Source organism: Homo sapiens, chromosome 1 (genome assembly GCF_000001405.40).
Source record: "Homo sapiens chromosome 1, GRCh38.p14 Primary Assembly".
In the NCBI taxonomy this organism is placed as follows: Eukaryota; Metazoa; Chordata; class Mammalia; order Primates; family Hominidae; genus Homo; species Homo sapiens.
The window spans coordinates 12,810,227-12,833,252 of NC_000001.11; the positions used below are offsets into that span (position 1 = coordinate 12,810,227).

The 23,026-nt window shown below is 44.8% G+C and overlaps 1 protein-coding gene and 1 long non-coding RNA gene across 3 annotated transcripts; both read right to left on the bottom strand.

Moving 5' to 3' along the window:
• Window positions 1-12,459: 12,459 nt before the first annotated feature.
• Window positions 12,460-12,997, bottom strand: LINC01784 (long intergenic non-protein coding RNA 1784). The gene is made up of 2 exons (NR_146629.1): window positions 12,810-12,997; window positions 12,460-12,713 (listed from the first exon to the last, which is right to left on the bottom strand). It is a non-coding gene; the product is annotated as a long intergenic non-protein coding RNA 1784 (long non-coding RNA).
• Window positions 12,998-14,378: 1,381 nt separating this feature from the next.
• PRAMEF11 (PRAME family member 11) lies at window positions 14,379-21,184 on the bottom strand. 2 transcript variants are annotated; one of them, NM_001146344.3, is made up of 4 exons: window positions 21,130-21,184; window positions 18,271-18,579; window positions 17,023-17,604; window positions 14,379-15,277 (listed from the first exon to the last, which is right to left on the bottom strand). In NM_001146344.3, exons 2-4 carry the CDS (start codon window positions 18,561-18,563, stop codon window positions 14,716-14,718), a joined length of 1,437 nt encoding a protein of 478 aa, NP_001139816.2. In that variant the 5' UTR covers window positions 18,564-18,579; window positions 21,130-21,184; the 3' UTR covers window positions 14,379-14,715. The 2 variants fall into 2 exon arrangements, with proteins under 2 accessions (NP_001139816.2, XP_011539781.1); XM_011541479.3 differs by lacking the exon at window positions 21,130-21,184 and having other exon boundaries at window positions 14,652-15,277; window positions 18,271-18,641.
• Between the last annotated feature and the right edge of the window lie 1,842 nt (window positions 21,185-23,026).

Here is a 23,026-nt window from a genome sequence, read left to right on the forward strand (position 1 = left end):
TTTCTGCCCCTGGGATTGGGTGGGGCAGCCAATGGAACCTCATGCAGACCAGGGTGAAATCAAAGGGCCTTGGAAACTCACAGCCCCACATCCAGGCCCCAGTCCTTTCAGAGTCTCAGATCCAAGTCCCCAGTTTATCAGGGATGTGGCTCTGTGAAAGCCAGAGAACCCGGTCCCCAGGGCTGCTGCCATCTCTCTCCTCCTCATTTACTCTGGCCCCCATCAGCTCCTCTGGGCCACTCCCTTTCTGGAGTCCCCCTGGCTCCATCCGGCGGCAGTGAGTTCGCAGATCTCCTGGACCCCAGGCTGCTACAGGCACCTCCCTCAACATCCACTGTCTGCTCTCAGAGTGACCTTCTCCTCATATCTTTATTGGAGGAAAAAAGAGGGGAAGCCCCTGGTCTTGGGGAAGATAGTTATAAATGCAATCTGGAATAAAACCCCCTTGAGGACTAGAGGAGGCCAGCAGGGCCTGACCAGAGATTTTTGACTGTTAGAAATGCACAGAGGGCAAACACCACAGGAAAAGCGCTGACTCAGAAACAGACTCACTGCATTCCAGGTGCAGCCTCCTCAGCTCTAAGGCTGGGCCAGCAGAGCCTGGGAAGGGATGGCCCCCACACTGGGACCATCCCAGGCTCTGCCAACAGCCTGGCACTTCTAGGAGAACCAGAGGAGTCGGCTCTTCCTGTGCAAGGTAGACAAGGTTCCCCTCCATTGGTCCCGGTTGCCTCTTTAGGTCCAGAGCAGCAGCTGAGGAGCTCCCTGCTTTATGCCTTGCTGTGGGCACTGAAATAGCTCAGTAGAATTTGGGGAGAATGTATGAGTCACTGCTGATTCCAGGGAGAGTGTTTCTTAGCATTGTTTGTGGCCATACTCCTGGGTGCAGGAGAGATTGGCTGACATTTCCAGGAAGCAGAGGACTCAGCTTCTCTGACAGCTCAGGCTGGGGGAGGAAAATTCAAGTTCAGAAATACTTTAGAACCCCGATGAAAAGCCTGGAGAAGCTTTGGAATCCCAGTAGAAATTCAGTGAGTGGAACTGAGGTTAAGCCATCCCTTCAGATGGACTCAAAAGGCTGCACTGACCTGGACAGCAGAGGAGCACCTTCAGAAGCACAGGCAACCAGAACATGGTAGAAAGACCCCCCAAACTGCAGGATTCTCGCTGGGGTCCTGAGGATGGTGCAGGATTTCCCCAAGGGGTTCATTTCTCTCACAAATTCTGCAGATACACAGCTTCCACCATTCATGCTTCCAGATCGAAAAGTCTCCCTCTTTATGTCTGACCACACTGCTCCTCTCTGGGCTCTGCCCCAGCTCACACACTCAGATTCACTCTTCCCAAGCTGGTATTCTGAGGGAAGCCCAACACGTTTGTGAGTAATGATGCCTCACCTTCAAGTAGGAGCCAAGACTGTGTCTGCTCTCTCTGCCCTCAAAGACACTGTGATGCTTTAAGGATCTGCATTATCTCTTTTGTAATTATGTTTTTTTAAAATTTTTAAACTCAATCTAGAAGGAAGTCTTTCAATCCTTTTGTCTAAATGCCCACAAAATACCTGCCATGTTTTATGTTGTCTAGCTTCCCTCCCAGGGTCCCATGAAAACACTCAGTCCTGTCCAGCCCAGCCCCCACATCACTTTGTAATTTAGGCCTGATTTCTTTCAGTGAATCCTTGACCTTAACCTTGAGATAAATTACACCCTCAGTAGTTCCTGTTTTCCACCTGAATGGGCATATGATCTACCATGTTAGGTAGCACAAAACCCAGGTGACAAGTGGATACACCAAGATTTTTATTGTGTTTTTCAGGGATGACATCACTGTCTTCTTAAAGTTGTTTTAACTCTAAAACATTTTGATGCTTTTGATGTGGCCAAAGGTTCTCTAATAAAGATACCACATATATATATATTTTTTTTTCTAATGTCAGAAACAGCTTAAATCCTTCCCTGTATCACTATGAAAGTCACATATTAGTCAAACTTTACCAGTGTTTATGGAATAAGTGAATAAATGAGTTTTAGACCTTCACCCTATTATTAATTCTTTCACTTTTATGAATCTATATCTAATTTAATCACTTAATAAGAAGAAAGTTGAAAACTCAATCAGGGTTAACTGGATGGAAGTTCAGGATCTAGTTGGATGTCATTTTTGGATTGGAAGTTGGTAATTGAGAAGGGGGTCGTGGTGAGAAAGGTCAATAAAAGCTCCTGAAGATGCACAGAAGAGACCCAAAGCCCTGGCTCCTGGAGCTACTGCTTGATTCTGGCAGAGGTCCCAGCACCCTGCAACGTGAGTCCAGATCTGGCAAGTCACCACTTATTAGGATTGGGAATGTGCCCATTTGATCTGATCTTCTGTATAGCACGTCATACAAAAAAGTCTGGAAGACGCTAGCACATACACTGTGAAGGGAAGTCACAGATAAGGGGAAGATTATAGAAGACATTTGCTCTGTGTTTTTGGAATGTTTTGCATTGAGAATTCTGTCCAGAGAAGGGAAAAAGGATGAAAATCAAATGAAGCTCACCCCCATGTACCTCTATGTACCTCTTACCATGCTGGACTTTCTTTTGTTTTGTTTTCTTTTCTCTTTTTTTTTTTTCTGATATGGCATCTAGCTCTGTTGCCCAGGCTGGAGTGCAGTGGCACGATCTTCAATCACTGCAACCTCCACATCCTGGGTTCAAGCAATTCTCCTCCCTCAGCCTCTCCAGTAGCTGGGACTACAGGTACATGCCACCATGCCTGGTTAATTTTTTTTATTATACTTTAAGTTTTAGGGTACATGTGTACAATGTGCAGGTTACTTACATATGAATACATGTGCCATGTTGGTGTGCTGCACCCAGTAACTCGCCATTTAACATTAGGTATATCTCCAAATGATATCCCTCCCCCCTCCCCCCACCCCACAACAGGCCCCTCTGTGTGATGTTCCCCTTCCTGTGTCCCTGTGTTCTCATTGTTCAATTCCCACCTATGAGTGAGAACATGCAGTGTTCGGTTTTATGTCCTTGCGATAGTTTGCTGAGAATGATGGTTTTCAGCTTCATCCATGTCCCTACAAAGGACATGAACTCATCTTTTTTATGGTTGCATAGTATTCCATGTTGTATATGTGCCACATTTTCTTAATCCAGTCTATCATTGTTGGACATTTGGGTTGGTTCTAAGTCTTTGCTATTGTGAATAGTGCCGCAATAAACATACTTGTGCATGTGTCTTTATAGCAGCATGATTTATAATCCTTTGGGTATATACCCAGTAATGGGATGGCTGGGTCAAATGGTATTTCTAGTTCTAGATCCCTGACGAATTGCCACACTTACTTCCACAATGGTTGAACTAGTTTACAGTCCCACCAACTGTGTAAAACTGTTCCTATTTCTCCACATCCTCTCCAGCACCCCTTGTTTCCTGACTTTTTAATGATCACCATTCTAATTGGTATGAGATGGTATCTCATTGTGGTTTTGATTTGAATTTCTCTGATGGCCGGTGATGATGAGCATTTTTTCATGTGATGATGAGCATTTTTTCATGTCTCTTTTGGCTGCATAAATGTCTTCTTTTGAGAAGTGTCTGTTCATATCCTTCACCCGCTTTTGGATGGGGTTGTTTGTTTCTTTTTTGTAAATTTGTTGGAGTTCATTATAGATTCTTGATATTAGCCCTTTTTCAGATGAGTAGATTGCAAAAATTTTCTCCCATTCTGTAGGTTGCCTGTTCACTCTGATGGTAGTTTCTTTTTCTGTGCAGAAGCTCTTTAGTTTAATTAGATCCCATTTGTCAATTTTGGCTTTTATTGCCATGGCTTTTGGTGTTTTAGACTTAAAGTCCTTGCCCATGCCTATGTCCTGAATGGTATTGCCTAGGATTTCTTCTAGGGTTTTTATGTTTTTAGGTCTAATGTTTAAGTCTTGAATCCATCTTGAATTAATTTTTGTATAAGGTGTAAGGAAGGGATCCAGTTTCAGCTTTCTACATATGGCTAGCCAGTTTTCCCAGCACCATTTATTAAATAGGGAATCGTTTCCCCATTTCTTATTTTTGTCAGGTTTGTCAAAGATCAGATGGTTGTAGATATGTGGCATTATTTCTGAGGGCTCTGTTCTGTTCCATTGGTCTATATCTCTGTTTTGGTACCAGTACCATGCTGTTTTGGTTACTGTAGCCTTGTAGTATAGTTTGAAGTCAGGTAGCGTGATGCCTCCAGCTTTATTCTTTTGGCTTAGGATTGACTTGGCTATATGGGCTCTTTTTTGGTTCCATATGAACTTTAAAGTAGTTTTTTCCAATTCTGTGAGGAAAGTCATTGGTAGCTTGATGGGGATGGCATTGAATCTTTAAATTTCCTTGGGCAGTATGGCCATTTTCACAATATTGATTCTTCCTACCCATGAGCATGGAATGTTCTTCCATTTGTTTGTATCCTCTTTTATTTCATTGAGCAGTGGTTTGTAGTTCTCCTTGAAGAGGTCCTTCACATCCCTTGTAAGTTGGATTCCTAGGTATTTTATTCTCTTTGAAGCTATTGTGAATGGGAGTTCACTCATGATTTTGCTCTCTGTTTGTCTGTTATTGGTGTATAAGAATGCTTGTGACTTTGCACATTGATTTTGTATCCTGAGACTTTGCTGAAGTTGCCTATCAGGAGATTTTGGGCTGAGACGATGGGATTTTCTAGATATACAATCATGTCATCTGCAAAGAGGGACAATTTGACTTCTTCTTTTCCTAATTGAATATCCTTTATTTCCTTCTCCTGCCTGATTACCCTGGCCAGAACTTTCAACACTTTGTTGAATAGGAGTGGTGAGAGAGGGCATCCCTGTCTGGTGCCAGTTTTCAAAGGGAATGCTTCCCATTTTTGTCCATTCAGTATGATATTGGCTGTGGGTTTGTCATAGATGGCTCTTATTATCTTGAGATATGTCCCATCAATACCTAATTTACTGAGAGTTTTTAGCATGAAGGTTTTTGAATTTTGTCGAATGCCTTTTCTGCATCTATTGAGATAATCATATGGTTTTTGTCGTTGGTCCTGTTTACATGCTGGATTCTGTTTATTGATTTTCATATGCTGAACCAGCCTTGCATCCCAGGGATGAAGCCCACTTGATCATGGTGGATAAGCTTGTTGATGTGCTGCTGGATTCACTTTGCCAGTATTTTACTGAGGATATTTGCATCGATGTTCATCAGGGATATTGGTCTAAAATTCTCTTTTTTTGTTGTGTCTCTGCCAGGCTTTGGTATCAGGATGATGCTGGCCTCATAAAATGAGTTAGGGAGGATTCCCTCTTTTTCTATTGATTGGAATAGTTTCAGAAGGAATGGTAACAGCTCCTCCTTGTACCTCTGGTAGAATTCGACTGTGAATCCATCTGGTCCTGGACTTTTTTTGGTTGGTAAGCTATTAATTATTGCCTCAATTTCAGAGCCTATTATGGATCTATTCAGGGATTCAACTTCTTCCTGGTTTAGTCATGGGAGGGTGTATGTGTCGAGGAATTAATCCATTTCTTCTAGATTTTCTAGTTTATTTGCATAGAGGTGTTTATAGTATTCTCTGATGGTAGTTTGTCTTTCTGTGGGATCCGTGATGATATGCCCTTTATCATTTTTTATTGCATCTATTTGTTTCTTCTCTCTTTTCTTCTTTATTAGTCTTGCTAGCAGTCTATCAATTTTGTTGATCTTTTCAAAAAACCAACTCCTGGATTCATTGATTTTTTGAAGGGTTTTTTGTGTCTCTATTTCCTTCAGGTCTGCTCTGATCTTAGCTATTTCTTGCTTTCTGCTAGCTTTTGAATATGTTTGCTCTTGCTTCTCTAGTTCTTTCTTTTTTTTTTTTTTTTTTTTTTCCTTTCTTTTTTTTTTTTTTATTATACTCTAAGTTTTAGGGTACATGTGCACATTGTGCAGGTTAGTTACATATGTATACATGTGCCATGCTGGTGCACTGCACCCACTAATGTGTCATCTAGCATTAGGTATATCTCCCAATGCTATCCCTCCCCCCTCCCCCCGACCCCACCACAGTCCCCAGAGTGTGATATTCCCCTTCCTGTGTCCATGTGATCTCATTGTTCAATTCCCACCTATGAGTGAGAAGTTCTTTCAATTGTGATGTTAGGTTGTCAATTTTAGATCTTTTCTGCTTTCTCTTGTGGGCATTTAGTGCTATAAATTTCCCTCTACACACTGCTTTGAATGTGTCCCAGATATTCTGGTATGTTGTGTCTTTTTTCTCATTGGTTTCAAAGAATGTCTTTATTTCTGTCTTCATTTCGTTATGTACCCAGTAGTCATTCAGGAGCAGGTTGTTCAATTTCCATGTAGTTGAGCGGTTTTGAGTGAGTTTCTTTTATTATTATTATTATGCTTTAAGTTTTAGGGTACATGTGAACAACGTGCAGGTTTGTTACATATGTATACGTGTGCCATGTTGGTGTGCTGCACACATTAACTCGTCATTTAGCCTTAGGTATACCTCCTAATGGTATCCTATGCAGCCATAAAAAATGATGAGTTCATGTCCTTTGTAGGGACATGGATGAAGCTGGAAACCATCATTCTCAGCAAAGTATCACAAGCACAAAAAACCAAACACTGCATGTTCTCGCTCATAGGTGGGAGTTGAACAATGAGAACACATGGACACAGGAAAGGGAACATCACACACTGAGTGAGTTTCTTAATCCTGAGTTCTAGTTTGATTGCACTGTGGCCTGAGAGACAGTTTGTTATAATTTCTGTTCTCTTACATTTGCTGAGGAGTGCTTTGCTTCCAACTATGTGGTCAATTTTTGGAATAAGTGCAGTGTGGTGCTGAGAAGAATGTATATTCTGTTGATTTTGGATTGTGAGTTCTGTAGATGTCTATTAGGTCCGCTTGGCGCAGAGCTGAGTTCAATTCTTGTATATCCTTGTTAACTTTCTGTCTCATTGATGTGTCTAAAGTTGACAGTGGGGTGTTGAAGTCTCCCATTATTATTGTGTGGGAGTCTAAGTCTCTTTGTAGGTCTCTAAGGACTTGCTTTATGAATCTGGGTGCTCCTGTATTGGGTGCATCTATATTTAGGATAGTTAGCTCTTCTTGTTGAATGGATCCCTTTACCATGATGTAATGGCCTTCTTTGTCTCTTTTGATCTTTGTTGGTTTAAAGTCTGTTTTATCCAAGACTAGGATTGCAACTCCTGCCTTTTTGTGTTTTCCATTTGCTTGGTAGATCTTCCTCCATCCCTTTATTTTGAGCCTATGTGTGTCTCTGCACGTGAGATGGGTTTCCTGAATACAGCACACTGATGGGTCTTGACTCTTTATCCAATTTGCCAGTCTGTGTCTTTTAATTGGAGCATTTAGCCCATTTACATTTTAGGGTAATATTGTTATGTGTGAATTTGATCCTGTCATTATGATGTTAGCTGGTTATTTTGCTCGTTAGTTGATGCAGTTTCTTCCTAGCCTTGATGGTCTTTACAATTTGGCATGTTTTTGAAGTGGCTTGTACCAGTTGTTCCTTTCCGTGTTTAGCACTTCCTTCAGGAGCTCTTGTGGGGCAGGCCTGGTGGTGACAAAATCTCTCAGCATTTGCTTGTCTGTAAGGAAATTTATTTCTCCTTCACTTATGAAGCTTAGTTTGGTTGGATATGAAATTCTGGGTTGAAAATTCTTTTCTTTAAGAATGTTGAATATTGGCCCCCACTCTCTTCTGGCTTGTAAAGTTTCTGCCAAGAGATCCGCTGTTAGTCTGATGGGGTTCCCTTTGTGGGTAACCCGACCTTTCTCCCTGGCTGCCCTTAACATTTTTTCCTTCATTTCAACTTTGGTGAATCTGACAATTATGTTTCTTGGAGTTGCTTTTCTCAAGGAGTATCTTTGTGGCATTCTCTGTATTTCCTGAATTTGAATGTTGGCCTGCCTTGCTAGATTGGGAAAGTTCTGCTGGATAATATCCTGAAGAGTGTTTTCCAGCTTGGTTCCATTCTCCCCATCACTTTCAGGTACACCAGTCAGATATAGATTTGGTCTTTTCACATAGTCCCATATTTCTTGGAGGCTTTGTTCATTTCCTTTTATTCTTTTTTCTCTGAACTTCTCTTCTCACTTCATTTCATTCATTTGATCTTCCATCACTAATACCCTTTCTTCTAGTTGATTGAATCAGCTACTGAGGCTTGTACATTTGTCACGTAGTTCTCATGCCATGGTTTTCAACTCCATCAGGTCCTTCAAGGAATTCTCTGCATTGGTTATTTTAGTTAGCCATTCTTCTAATTTTTTTTTCAATGTTTTTGACTTCTTTGCCATGGGTTCGAACTTCCTCCTTTAGCTCAGAGTAGTTTGATCATCTGAAGCCTTCTTCTCTCAACTCATCAAAGTCCTTCTCCATCCAGCTTTGTTCCATTGCTGGTGAGGAGCTGCATTCCTTTGGAGGAGGAGAGGCACTCTGATTTTTAGAGTTTCCCATTTTTCTGCTCTGTTTTTTCCCCATCTTTGTGGTTTTATCTACCTTTGGTCTTTGATGATGCTGATGTACAGATGGGGTTTTGGTGTGGATGTCCTTTCTGTTTGTTAGTTTTCCTTCTAACAGTCAGGACCCTCAGCTGCAAGTCTGTTGGAGTTTGCTGGAGGTCCACTCCAGAACCTGTTTGCCTGGGTATCAGCAGAAGAGGCTGCAGAACAGCGAATATTGGTGAACAGCAAATATTGCTGCCTGATCGTTCCTCTGGAAATTTTGTCTCAGAGGAGTACCTGGCCATGTGAGGTGTCAGTCTGCCTCTACTGGGGTGTGCCTCCCAGTTAGGCTACTCAGGGGTCAGGGACCCACTTGAGGAGGCAATCTGTCCGTTCTCAGATCTCCAGCTGCATGCTGGGAGAACCACTACTCTCTTCAAAGCTGTCAGACAGACAGGGACATTTAAGTCTGCAGAGGATTCTGCTGCCTTTTGTTTGGCAATGCCCGGCCCCCAGAAGTGGAGTCTACAGAGGCAGGCAGGCCTCCTTGAGCTGCAGTGGGCTCCACCCAGTTCCAGCCACCTGGCTGCTTTGTCTACGTACTCAAGCCTCGGCAATGGCAGGCGCCCCTCCCCCAGCCTTGCTGCCGCCTTGCAGTTTGATCTCAGACTGCTCTGCTAGCAATGAGTGAGGCTCCATGGGCATAGGACCCTCTGAGCCAGGCATGGGATAAAATCTCCTGGTGTGCCATTTGCTAAGACCATTGGAAAAGTGCAGTATTAGGGTGGGAGTGACCTGAATTTCCAGGTGCCGTCTGTCACCCCTTTCTTTGACTAAGAAAGGGAATTCCCTGACCCCTTGCCCTTCCCAGGAGAGGCAATGCCTTGCCCTGCTTTGGCTCACGCTCGATGCACTGCACCCACTGTCCTGCACCCACTTTCTGACACTCTCCATTGAGTTGAACCTGGTACCTCAGTTGGAAATGCAGAAATCACCCGTCTTCTGCACTGTTCATGCTGGGAGCTGTAGACTGGAGCTGTTCCTATTCGGCCATCTTGGCTCAACCCCCTAGTTAATTTTTGTGTCTTTAATAGAGAAAGGGTTTCATCATATTGGCCAGAGTCGTCTCAAACTCCTGACTGAAGTGATCCACCCACCTTAGTCTCTGAAAGTGCTGGGATTACAGATGTGAGCCACTGTGCCTTGTCAATTGCTGGACTTTCATGATACACATGGAGTATCCACAGTATCACAAGGGCCATTTTTTCCATAATCCAATTTATTTATATTATTGGTAGTGAGCTAATGTTGATGTCGCCAAGGTAGCAATTTAGTGACTATACCCATGATAAACGTTTCCATGCATCACGTGGTCAACAGCATTTGCTACCAAGTGCCACGTTCCATGCTCAGCAGTAGGAACATAGGATGATTGAGACAAAGTTCCTGACCTTTAGCAGCAATATCGAACAAGTGAGATTGTCAAGAAAGAAGAAATCATTGTAAAACATACCATACCCCTACAATTCCGTAATCATGCTCCTGGATATTTAATGAAATGAGTAAACCCACAGCTGGATGTTTATAGTAGCTTATTCATAATCACTAAAACCTGGAAGCTAGCAAGTTGGCCTTCAGTCAGTGACTGGATAAGCAAACTGATCCATCCAGTCAGTGAACTATTATGAAGCCTTAAAAAGACATGAAAGATTCTTAAATGCACGTTATTGTACAAGTGAAAGAAGGCAATGTGAAAAGACTCATCCTGTTAGACATTTGCCTTTTTCTATGGAGATAGTAGAAAGCCCAGTGGTTGTGAGGGGTTGGGAGTACAATGGGATGAATGGGAAGAGGACAGAGGACTTTTAGGGGAACAAAACTAGTCTCCATGATGCTCTAATGGTGGATATGTGTCATTATCCCTTTGTTAAAATCCATAGAATGTACAAAACCAGCAATGATCCCCCATGTGAACTATGGACATTGGGTGATAATGATGTGTCCCTGTGGCTCATTGATTGTGACGAATGCTCTGTGCTGGTGTGGGTGCTGATCCTGTGGGGGTGCTGTGTATTGAAGGGGGAAGAAGGTAGATGAGAACTCTGCAGTTTCTGCTTAGTTTTTCTGTGAATCTAAAGCTGCTATAAAGAAAAAAATAGGCTGGGCGTGGTGGCTCACGTCTATAGTCGTAGCATTTTGGGAAGCTGAGGTGGGTGGATCACCTGAGGTCAGGGGTTCGAGATCAGCCTGACTAAAATGACAAACCCTGTCTCTATTAAAAAATAATAATAATTATAATACAAAAATTATCCAGGTGTGGTGGTGCATGCCTGTAATCCCAGCTACTCTGGAGGCTGACACAGGAGAATTGCTCGAACCCTGGAGGCAGAGGTTGCAGTGAACTGAGATCGTACCACTGCACTCCAGCCTGGATGACAGAATGAGACTCCATCTCCAAAATAAATAAATAAATAAACTCAAGGCTGGGTGCGGTGGCTCATGCCTATAAGGGCTCACTCCCAGCAATTTAGGAGGCCGAGGCAGGTGGATCGCTTGAGCCCAGAATTTCAAGACCAGTCTGGGCAACATGGTGAAACCTGGCAAAAATAAGCCAGGCATGATGGTGCATGCCTGTCGTTCCAGCTACCAGGGGGACTGAGGCAGGGAGATCACCTGAGCCTAGGAGGTCAAGGCTGCAGTGAGCCGTGATCATGCCACTGCACTCCAATCTGGACGACAGAGTGAGACCTTGTCTCAAAATAAAATAAAATGAAATAAACTCAAGATTTTTAAAAACTGTAATGTTTCCTTTCAAAGATAAAATTGTATTGTTCTAAATATATTTTAAAGAAGAAATGATTATTGTTCAGTGTCTTTAAAATTAGTTTTCAAAATCTCATTTGTTTTGACATTTCAAACCAAGTTAAGTATTCTTTTTCTCACCCTCCTTGGGACGGAGTCTTCCTCTTTCACCCAGGCTGGAGTGCAGTGGTGCATTCTCGGCTCACTGCAACCTTTGCCTCCCAGGTTCAAGCGATTCTCTTGCCTCAGCCTCCTGACTATCTGGGATTACAGGCACCTGTCACCACGCCAGGCTAATTTTTTGTATTTTTCGTAGAGACCGGGTTTCATCATGTTGGACAGGCTGGTCTGGAACTCCTGACCTCGTGATCTACCCACCTCGGCCTCCCAAAGTGCCAGGAATACAGGCATGAACCACCACACCTGGCCATTAACCATTCTTAAAATATCACGTTGCATTCTTTCAAAGTTCTAATCTTTCATATACATAAATTACAACACAAATAGTTATACTCTAATAGTATTCACACTATAGTAAATTTTTTTTTCATGCTCTGTCGCCCAGGCTAGAGAGCAGTGGCGCGATCTCGTCTCATTGCAATCTTCTCCTCCCGGGTTCAAGTGATTGTCCTGCCTCAGCCTCCTGAATACCTAGGATTACAGGCGAATGCCACCACTCCCAGCAAATTTTGTGTATTTTTAGTAGAGACGGGGTTTCACCATGTTAGCAAGGCTGGTCTCAACATCCCGAGGCTGCCTCGGCCTCCCAAAGTGCTGGGATTAGAGGTGTGAGACACCATGCCCAGCCATAATAATAAATGTTATTTTATCTTTTTTTTGAGATGGAGTTTTGCTACTGTTGCCCAGGCTGGAGTGCAATGGCTCAGTCTGAGCTCACCGCAACCTCCACCTCCCAGGTTCAAACGATTCTCCCGCCTCAGCCTATCGAGTAGCTGCAATTACAGACGTGTGCCACCACGCCTGGCTATTTTTTGTATTTTAAGTAGAGAAGGGGTTTCTTCATGTTGCTCAGGCTGGTCTCAAACTCCCGACCTCAGGTGATCCACCTGCCTCAGCCTCCCAAAGTGCTGGAATTACAGGCATGAGCCACTGCACCTGGCTCATAATAGTACATTTTTAAAAACACCATAAAATATAATCCTTGCAACACTCAATTATACCATCTGGTCCGATCTATCAGCAGATGGCACCCGAGACATACGGATTGGAAATTTTGATCTTATTATGAATGAATCCAGTCCAGAAATGCCCACCCTGCCCCCTGCTGGCTCCTGGGGCTCTGCTCTTTGGGGGAATCATGATGAAATTGTGGCAGAGAGTAGAAGTTGAGCCCCATTGCATGCCCTGAGTTCTTGTTGCCTCTCTATTATCAGGAAAAGGAGGTGAGATTGAAAGATGAAAAATGCTGGGACTTCTGCTGAGAAGAGAAAAAAGAACAAGATGTATTGATCTTACTGTATGCCAGACCCCATGCCAAGCCCTAAACATGAACCATCTCATTGGATCCTACCAAGGTCCCATAAGCTGTTGGATATCATCATCCTCATTTTACAGGAAGCTGAGGCTCTAGGCTAACATCCCTGACAGCAACACCAGCCCCTGAGTACACAGCAGGATCCTTCACTTGGGTGCCCACTATGCAGGCTTCCTCACCACAGGGAAGGTCACTCATCACCCACAGGCACTTGATCGTTATCCACCCTTTGATGATGTCAGATTCCAGAACATGCTGCACTAGTCACTTCCTTCATAGGGAGAGAGGGAAGGTGTTATGAGAAAATCTCTCATCAATCTGACCTAGCTCCCCAAAAAGATGTAACTTTTAAAATGTCAGATGGAAATATTTAAAAAGTGTTACATGCCTGTATAGTTTTAGTATTTTACTTAAAGGGAATGTGGCTGTCTTTACTGGCTACAACAAGTTTAATTCAAGAAGGGCTGCTGGTCATCAGGGGAACAAGCAAGGGTTGGTGCTGCCCAGAGTCTCCAGCTAATACACAATATGGACATCCCCTTCCAGGGCAGCGGGAAGAGACTGGCTCCTTGTGCAGTGAAGCTGACATCCACCAACTAAGGCTTCTGGAAGCATGTGGAGACTCACAGGGAGTGGGCAGGGTCTCAGCATCTGGATAGCGGTGAAAGACGCTGAGAAGAAGGTGCTTTCCGTGTGGATTGGCTCACTGTTCTTGCCCAGCAATGTTCCAGGCCTTTGGTGTCCACCTAGTGTGTATTAACCCACTGAACAGCCACAGAAACTAACAAGGAGTTAACAGACATCTAAAGAAGTGAAGAACTGGAGGAGGCCAAGCCAAGCGTGGTGGTCCACGCCTATACTCCCTGCATTTTGGGAGGCCAAGGCAGGAGAATCACAAGCTCAGGAGTTCCAGATCAGCCTGGGGAAGACAGCGAGGCCTTGTTTCTACTAAAAAAAAGTATCCAGGTGTGGTGGCTCACACAGCTGTAGTCCTAGCTACTCAGGAGGCTGAGGTGGGAAGATCGCTTGAACCCAGGAAATTGAGGCTGCAATGAGGTATGATTGTGCCACTGCACTGTAGCCTGAGTGACAGGAGACCTTTAAAAAACAAAAACAAAAACAAAAACAAAAGCCTGACACAGTGGCTCACACCTGTAACCCCAGCACTTTGGTAGGCCTACTTGCGTGAATCACCCAAAGTCAGGAGTTTGAGACCAGCCTGGCCAACATAGTGAGGAAACCCTGTCTCTACTAAACATACACAAATTAGCTGGGCATGGTGGTGCATGCTTGTAATCCCAGCTACTTGGGAGGCTGAGGCAGGAGAATCATTTAAACCCCAGGTGGAGGTTGCAGTCAGCTGAGATGGCACCATTGCACTCTAAACTCCAGCCTGGGCGACAAGAGTGAAACTCTGTCTCAAATAAAAGAATGGGAGGAAACTGGTTACAATAACCAAATTTCATTTAAATGCCTTGATTTTCTTGGGCTGCATCTTATTGATTGGACAACTCAGTCAGTGCCTTTTGTTTTTTCCATCAATAACTGAAGATTCCTGAGGCTTAAACTGGAAAACAGGTTACTTAATAATAGAGGGCACCAGACAGATTCTGCTCAGTTTTCCTTTATTTCTGATTGTTTCTTTACAACCATCCATGCAAGAGTAACTCCCTCATGTATTCTCAAGCCTGAATTCCACTCTAGACATTCAGATTCCCATTTTCGACTCTACAGGATACAGGTTCCCAAAGTCCCATTGAATCCATGGCAACATTTCCCCCAAGTCCTGCCCCTGCTTGATCAGCTTTCCTTTCCCACTTTCAGAGCCCATGTGTGAAACGATGGGTTCTGTGCTCCCTTTAGGATGTACCTAAGACCTAGGTTTTAGTTTCCAAGTGTCCAGAAGAAAGCGTTTGACATACCCATCCAAATAGGCAGGCATTCAACAGCAGTATTGATCTGCCTCCAGGTCATAAAATGACCTGTCGCCATGGTCAGGGCAGTTGTCAGTACAGAACAAGATCCTCTTGGGGTGCCTTAAGTGCCTCACTTTCTTCATCAGCTCAGCCCTAATTTGAGCAAATCTGCTCCAGCAGAGAGTACCATCAGCACCATAACTTTCCTGCGGGGCAGGATACAGCTCCAGGCATAAGTTTTTGAGTATGATTGTGTGGCTCAGCAGGTTCTCCAGGGTGGCCATGCAGATGGGATTTCCACAGAAGCTGAAGGTGTTGAGCTCAAAGCAGCGGCTCAGGGCAGGCAGGATGGCGTTGACTTGGGAGTCTATGATGCCACAGTCATCTAAATCCAGGTACTCAAGGGTGGCTGCAACTTTTTCTAGGAGAATTTGGAGAGGCACAAGACTGTAATTGGTCAGTCTGATGCCACTCAGGTCCAGGGTCTTTAGTTGACTGATACTCGGGCACTGGGATAGATGCTTCAAGTCTGATTCCAAAAGCACACAGTTAGTTATTGTGAGGACCTTTAACGAGGTCTTCAGACAGCTGGGGAGAGAGAGCAAGAAGTTAATTCTGGGGAATCATAGGGGTGAGTGGAGGGTGGTGGGGAATGGCTTCAAGGTAATGGATGGAGACCATTTTGCCCAAGTCCAGGATCATTCTCATGGCCGGATGGTCAACACTTCGGATGATGTGTGATGAAGAGCTTTGCCACCGAGGTCAATTCCACTTTAGGCCCGGCCCAGTAACTCACACCTGTAATCCCAGCACTTTGGGAGGCTGAGACTGGTGGATTCCTTGAGATCAGGAGTTTGAGACCAGCCTGCTGAACATGGCAAAACCTCGTCTCTACTAAAAATCCAAAAATTAGCCAGGTGTGGTGGCGGGAGCCTGCAATTCCAGCTACTTGGGAAGCTGAGGCAGAAGAATCGCTTGAACCCAGGAGGTGTAGGTTGCAGTGAGCAGAGATCATGCCACTACACTCCAGCCTGGGTGACAGAGTGATACTCTATTAAAAAAAAAAAAAGGAGAAAAAATAATTCCATTTCAGGCTGAGTCATTTCACCATCATTTATAGGAATGGATCAAGTTCACAGAATCCCTAAAGCTCCCTTTCCTCATCTGTCAGGCAGAAAACCACATCCCTGGGCCACAGAAGCCCAGTGGAGATGCAGGCATAAAGGACAAACCCAGACAGGATCCTGCAACATCAGCTGGGGTGGGCAGGCTGCAGGCGTCCCTGACACACCTGTATCATCAGCAAACCATCTATCACTTTCATCATTCTTTGTGCCTGCTCCCTGACCCTCTGTTTCAGAATCATACATTTCCTAGGTAATTAATTTACCTGGAGCTCAAAAGAAACTTTTACAATGGGAATTAGAGATGGGATCATTCATGTTCACCAAACTGTGGGGCACAAAGCTGATTTTCTGACATGTGCAGGTTTGCTGAGCATTCCCCTCTTCAGTGCCCACTTCACTTCCCTACTTCACATCATCTTCTTAAAAATTATCTTGTTGGCTGGGCGTGGTAGCTCTCGCCTATAATCCCAGCACTTTGGGAGTCCAAGGTGGGTGGATCACCTGAAATCAGGGGTTGGAGAATAACCTGGCCAAAATGGTGAAAACCTGTCTCTACTTAAAATATAAAAATTAGCCAGGTGTGGTGGCCCACGCCTGTAATCCCAGGTACTCAGGAGGCTGAGGCAGGAGAATCGCTTGAACCTGGGAGGCAGAAGTTGCTGCGAGCTGAGATGTCACAAGTGCACTCTACCCTGGATGATCAAAGTGAAAATCCATCTCAGAAAAAAAAGTTATCTTGTTTGATTTTACTTTTATTTATTCATTTCTGACAGGGGTCTTGGGATGTTACCCAGACTGCTCTTAAACTCCTAGGCTCAAGCTATCCTCTTGCCTCAGACTCCCAAACTGCTAGGATTACAGGCATGAGCCAACGCCCCTGGCCTATTTTTCATCATCTTAACTTAGACACACATCCTCAGGAAGAATTCAGAAAGGCACCCTCACTAGATCTGAACCCCCCAGTAGCTAGCTTCCTAGCATGGCAGCCTCTCTATAGCATCTCCCCTGACTGATCCCTCTGACTCTATTGGGAGGGTTGCATGATACCCATTTCAGGACAGGGCCGCCAACAGGACAATGCATGGACATTCTAGTGTCCCCTTCACTGTTACATCCTCATAGGCTGGCTCACAGTAGATGCCCACTAGTGTTCACTGTAACAGGCTCTGCTGTGGTCTGCAGAGAAAGCTCACCACCCTCCCTCACCTGAGCAGCTGGTCCAGGTGGCCTTCGAGGAAAGAAACAGAGTTCATATAAAGCTTTTGGAGGCAGCGCAGCTTGAGGAACTGAGTGGTGAACTGGGTAACAATCTCCTTCTTCTGCTCTGGGGAAACGTAGCGAGAGACATCCATGTGGGAGAGAACGAGCTTCTGAAGATTCCTCAAGTGGCCCAGGTATGGGGTAAACTGTGTCAGGATGGGCAGTATCCACTTGCAATTCACTTCCACCTCCTGGATACAGTCTAGGTTCACCATTTTCAGGATGCTTCTGATATTGCGGAAGGGCATTCCCAAAATTTTCAGCTTCTTACAGCACAGGTGTAGTAAATCTCTCCTCTGCTTGACCCATAGAAGGAGGCAGGTGAGGTATTCATCCAGAGTCCTGTTCTTGAGCCAAAGTTCTACAAACACAGTCAAGGGCTGCCGTCCTCTCATCCTTGGACAGTCCTGCACTGGTTTTTTGTTCCTCTTGGCATTGAGGAAGCACCCATGGGCCATAGCTTCAGACCAAACCATCCAGAAGTTCTCACAGACATCCTGTAAATCCAGCACTTGAAGTTTCCATCTCCTGTGGGAAAATAGAGGTGAGACTGAGAATTTAAGAACTCATTTCTGAACTTAAACTCCACATCCTGCATAGCAGCTCCTCCCCTCCCTGCTTGTTGTCCCTCTCTCTGAGTTTTCTTCACCCTGTTTTCCCCTTGGATCCTACCCACTTCCACATTTTTTTGTTTTTTTTTTGAGACCAAGTCTCCTTCTGTCGCCCAGGCTAGAGTGCAGTGGTGTGATGTCACCTCACTGCAACCTCTTCTTCCCGGGTTCAAATGATTCTCCTGCCTCAACCTCACAAGTAGCTGGGATTACAGGAACCCACCACCATGCCCAGCTAATTTTAGTATTTTTAGTAGAGTTGGGGTTTACCATGTTGGACAGGCTGGCCTCCAACTCTTGACCTCAGCCTCCCAATGGGCTGGGATTACATTGTGAGCCACCGTGCCCGGCCCAGTTCTCACTTTTCATGGTGCCTTTCAGTGCCATTAGAGGAGAGGTTCCTGTTACCTCTATGGACCTTGCCTGGTGAGCAGTGCTTTCCCTGAGGAGCTGGTGAATGGCCAAGTCCTCTCGGCTTCCTCACCACCACCATCCCCCTTGGGCCTCCTCACTTCACATGACCCAGCTGTTCCTTCAGTTGGACACCTGGGCCCTCCCCACCAGCCCACCTGGGCCACCTCACCTGGGACGAACCCCTTGGGTAAGCAGTGCATCCAGCCCATCGAGCACAGCTTGGAAGGCCTCCAGACAAGGCATCTTTATCAGAGGCCTCAGAGGGAGGCGGCGGAAGGGCCAGGCCTGCACCATCAGCTTCAGGGCCTCACAGCGTCTCCTGCTGAAGGCCTCCATGAACAGTGGGGGGAAAAGTTCCGTGGGCAGCTCCTCCAGGGTGGAGACGGCCAAGGCTTGGTCCCTCAGCAGGCTCCGCCCCGCAAGCTCCAGGAGTCTGGGTGGAATCCGGATGCTCATCTTCATGAATCTGCAGGGAAAACTTCCAGAGGACAAACCCAGAGAAAAGGCATCACTCTCAGGCCAAGCCCATGCAATCTCATCTTCTCCCAGGGCCAAAGTCACTGCTCTGGCAATGGTGAAACAGCCCTCAGTTTACTCCAATTCTACTCTGTACTCAGTGGCCATTAAGCCAGCATTCTGCCTCTGCTGCATCAGCATGAGCGTCTCCGAAGCAGTGAGGAAGCAGGGCCACCACGAGCCCTTCCTTTCTATCCAGTGCTCCATCCAGTGACTAGTGAGTGTGGAGGAACCTGAAAGTGAACCCCTCCTACCATTGGGGGAAATTATTAATTACTTAAGGTTCTAAAACAATGGGAATGGGAGTGTCACAAGCCTACATGCCCACAATTTCAGTTCCTAAAAATAAGCTTGTTGGGAACATTCATGGGGCATCCCTAGAACAGGTTCTATTTGTTTTCTTTTCATTATTTAAGCTTGCTTTCTCTTTCTCTCTTTCTTTTTTCCTTCTTTCCCTCTCTCCCTCCCTTCTTTCTTTCTTTCCTCCTCTCTCTCCCTTCTTTCTTTCTTGTCTTCTTTCCCTGCCTCCCTTCTCTCATTCTCTCTCTCTTTCTCTCTCTCCCTCTCTCACTCTCTTTCTGACAGGGTCTTGCTGTCACCCAGCCTGGAGTGTAGTGGTGGGATCTCAGCTCAGTGCAGCCTTGACCTCCCAGCTCAAAGGATTCTTCCTCCTCAGCCTCTCAAGTAGCTGGGACCACAGTTATGCATCACCACACCCAGCTCATCTTTTATTTTTTGACTTTTTGTAAAGACAGTGGATTTCGCTATGTTGTCCAAGCTGGTCTTGAACTCCTAGTCTCAAGCAATCTACCCCTCTTGGCCTCCCAACATAGTGGGATTATAGGTGTGAGCCTCCGCCCCAGCCTCATTATTGAAAATTTCAGTGAGATGCAGTGGTCTCCGCCTGTAGTCCAAGCTAATAGGGAGGCTGAGGTAGGAGGATCACTTGAACCCAGGAGGCAGAAGTTGCAGTGAGCTGACATTATACCACTCCACTCCAGCCTGGGAAATAGGCTAGATTGAACAGAGAGACAGAGAGAGCTACATTTGATTAGAATTCTTAATCTCTACCCAGTTAATCCTGATTGGATTTCTGACTTTCTTAAATATTAACTGATCGAATTAGATATTCATCCATCAAAATGAAAGATTTAGGGATAGGGTGAAAGTCCAGGACTCATTCACTGATTCCCTTCACAAACATGGAGTTTTACTAATATGTGTCCTTCAAAGTCCTGAGTGTGAGATAGGGAAGGGTTGAACCTCTTCCTGATATTAGACAGAAAGAAAGAAAACTTGAAAGTATCTTTGTTGAGGGATCCTTGGCCATGTCAAATTTATCAAAATATTTCAGAGTTAAAACAGTTTTCAAAGACAGAGATGACAGTCCCTAAGAAAACACAGTAGAAATCTTCATATATCCAAAGATCACCTAGGTGGCGTAATTCTTTTTGGTGTTGAGGGAGCTGAATCTCACTTCATCGGCCAGGCTAGAGTGCAGTGGTGTCATATCGGCTCACTGTTACCTCGGCCTCCAAGATTCAAGCAATTCTCATGCTTCAGCCTTCCACGTAGCTGGGACTACAGGCATGCACCCCCCACAGCCATGTCTCCATTTGGGTGGAAGAGGATGTGATTGGTTTAAAATTAAGGTCAAAGATCCTTTTTGATTGATTTTGTTTTTGTTTTTTGGACAGGGTGTCTCTCTTTTGCCCAGGCTGGAGTACAGGAGTGGTATGAGCATGGCTCACTGCAGCCTCAATCTTCTGGGCTCAAGTGATTCTCCCACACCAGCCACCCAAATAGCTGGGACTACAGATGCATGTCACCATGCTCGGCTAATTAAAAAAAAAAAAAGTAGAGGCCAAGCACCAGTGACTCACAGCTGTAATCCCAGCACTTTGGGAGGCCAAGGCAGGTGGATCACTTGAGGTCAGGTGTTCGACACCAACCTGGCCAGCATGGTGAAACCCCACCTCTACTAAAAATACAAAAATTAGCGAGGCATGGTTTCAGATGTCTGTGACACCAGCTTCTGAGGATGGAGACTGAGGCATGAGAATTGCTTGAACCCGGGAGGTAAAGGTTGCAGTGAGTTGAGATCATGCCACTGCACTCCAGTCTGGGCAACACAGTGAGACTCCATCCCCACCCTCAAAAAAAAAAAAAAACGTTGTGTAGAGGAGGGCTTTTGTCATGTTGCCCAGGTTGGTCTCAAACCCCTGGGCTGAAATGATCCTCCCACTTTGGCCTCCCAATGTGTTGGGGTTAAAGGCATGAGTCACTGCTCCCTTCAAGAATTTTGAAATGACATCAACCAAAGCACAATCAACTTTTTTGAAATAAAGACAGAACTGCATTTAGAGGAAAAAATTCAAAGCTTCAAATTGTTCATATGAGAAAAAAAAAGGACAGGATATAGCTCTGTGCCATCGTAGGCTGCACTGTCACCATCCCAGACTGACTGACTGTAGGTCAGATGGGAGTGTCCTTACAGAAATTAGTGACTTACCAGATCTGGATGTAGTCTAGAAGGTGCTCAGACCTCAGGAAGAACCAAGCAGGAACTCCAGGCTTGAAGACTTTGGGTCTCTCCTGTGGGTCTTTAGAAGATTTTATTGACCTTTCTAATCACAACTCCCACCCATGCCCTTCCACGTTTGCACTGCTAGCTTCCAATCAAAAAGCAATATCTGATTGCATTTGTGAAGCTCCATCCAGTTAATCCTGATTGGGTTTTTGGCTCTCCCCAGATTAATGGATTGAGTCAGATATCCGTTCATATCACATATCTATATTCAGTTCGTGAAGCAAGAAATTGACAGTGTTAGGGATAGGGTAGAAGTCAAGAATACATTCATTCAAGGGTGGGTGAGGTGGCTCATAGCTGTAATTCCAGCACTTGGGAAGGACAAGGTGAGTAGATCACCTGATGTCAGGGGTTCAAGACGAGCCAGGTCAAAAAGGTGAAACCCTGTCTCTACAAAAATACAAAAATACAAAAATTAGCTGGGCATGATGGCAGGCACCTGAAACCCAGCTACTTGGGAGGCTGAGGCAGGAGAATTGCTTGAACCCAGGAGGCAATGGTTGCAGTGAGCCAGAATTGTGCCACTGCACTCCAGTCTGGGTGACAGAGGGAGATTCTGTCAAAAAATAAAAAAATCATTCATTCATGAACTCCAGAAACACTGATGGCATTTTACTAATATGTGAACTTCATAGTCTTGAGTGTGAGGCAGGGACGGATTTGATCTGTTACGACATTAGACAGAAAAATAAAATCTGAAAGTAGTGTTGTTAGGAGATCTTTGGCCACATCAAAATATAAAAATGCTTTCTACTTTAAAAAGCTTTATAAAAACAGAGGAGTCATCCCTACGAAATCAGAATAAAAATCTCAATGTATTGAATGGTTTTTGGGATTTTGTGTAACCTAAGGTAGCAGATTACATGCTCGTTCTGGTGGAGGAGAGGTGCCACTGAGGGCGTGAGTGGTCTCAGGGCTTAGGTTAAGGCTTCTTTGGAAGAAATTGAAACCACATCTCTAAAGTTTATAAATTTAATCAGTGAAGAAGGGAGGGAGAGAAACAAAAATAAACGAAGCTTGCAACACATTCAGCCTTCATCAGGAGGTCTTCTTGCTCTCTGAACTGGTTCCTCATGGTTGCTGGCAGCCTACTGTTCCAAAATCATATAGACCTTAGATTACAGTTCCCCTTAACTTCCCTGCAGACAACGATTCAAGCATTGTAAAACATTAATTTTTTCATCTGAGATATTCTTTCAGGTTCTGCATGTCAGTGAAACTGCTGATGCCAGCTGATCTGAAGGGCCATGCAATGCACCAACTCACCAAAGAATGCAGTTTCTACATCCTGTTGACTTCTTCCCTCTTACCGCTACCCCAACTTTCCGGCCTCTTGCTATCCAGGATCCACTGGAAACCTTCAGTACTCCTTGGGGAGATGAATTTGAGGATCTCCTCCTAGCTTCTCATTCAGCCACCTTGTGATCATTAAACTCTCTGCTGCAAACCCTGCTGTCTCAGAATATTGCTAAGCTACTGTGCAGCAGGCATAGGAACCTGATGGTCCTGTAATAAAGTCATGTCAAAATTACAAATGGAAGTGAGGGTGGAGCTGGTCAGGGTTGAGCTGGGTTTTTAATGGGAACCTGGGAGTGAAGCAAGACTTGCTGAACATGTTGGGGGTTATTGAGTGGGTGTAAGAGGAATCTATCTAACATTGCACTGATGCCCTTTTGGTTTTAATCCTTATGACCAAGTATGAGTCTTTCAAAACAATTTGTATAATCCTCCTTATTTTTCCTTTCAAAACCTTCAACTTCCTTTATCTCCCCAAATAATCTCGCATCTATTGCCACTTCTTTGCTTACTTCATAATAAA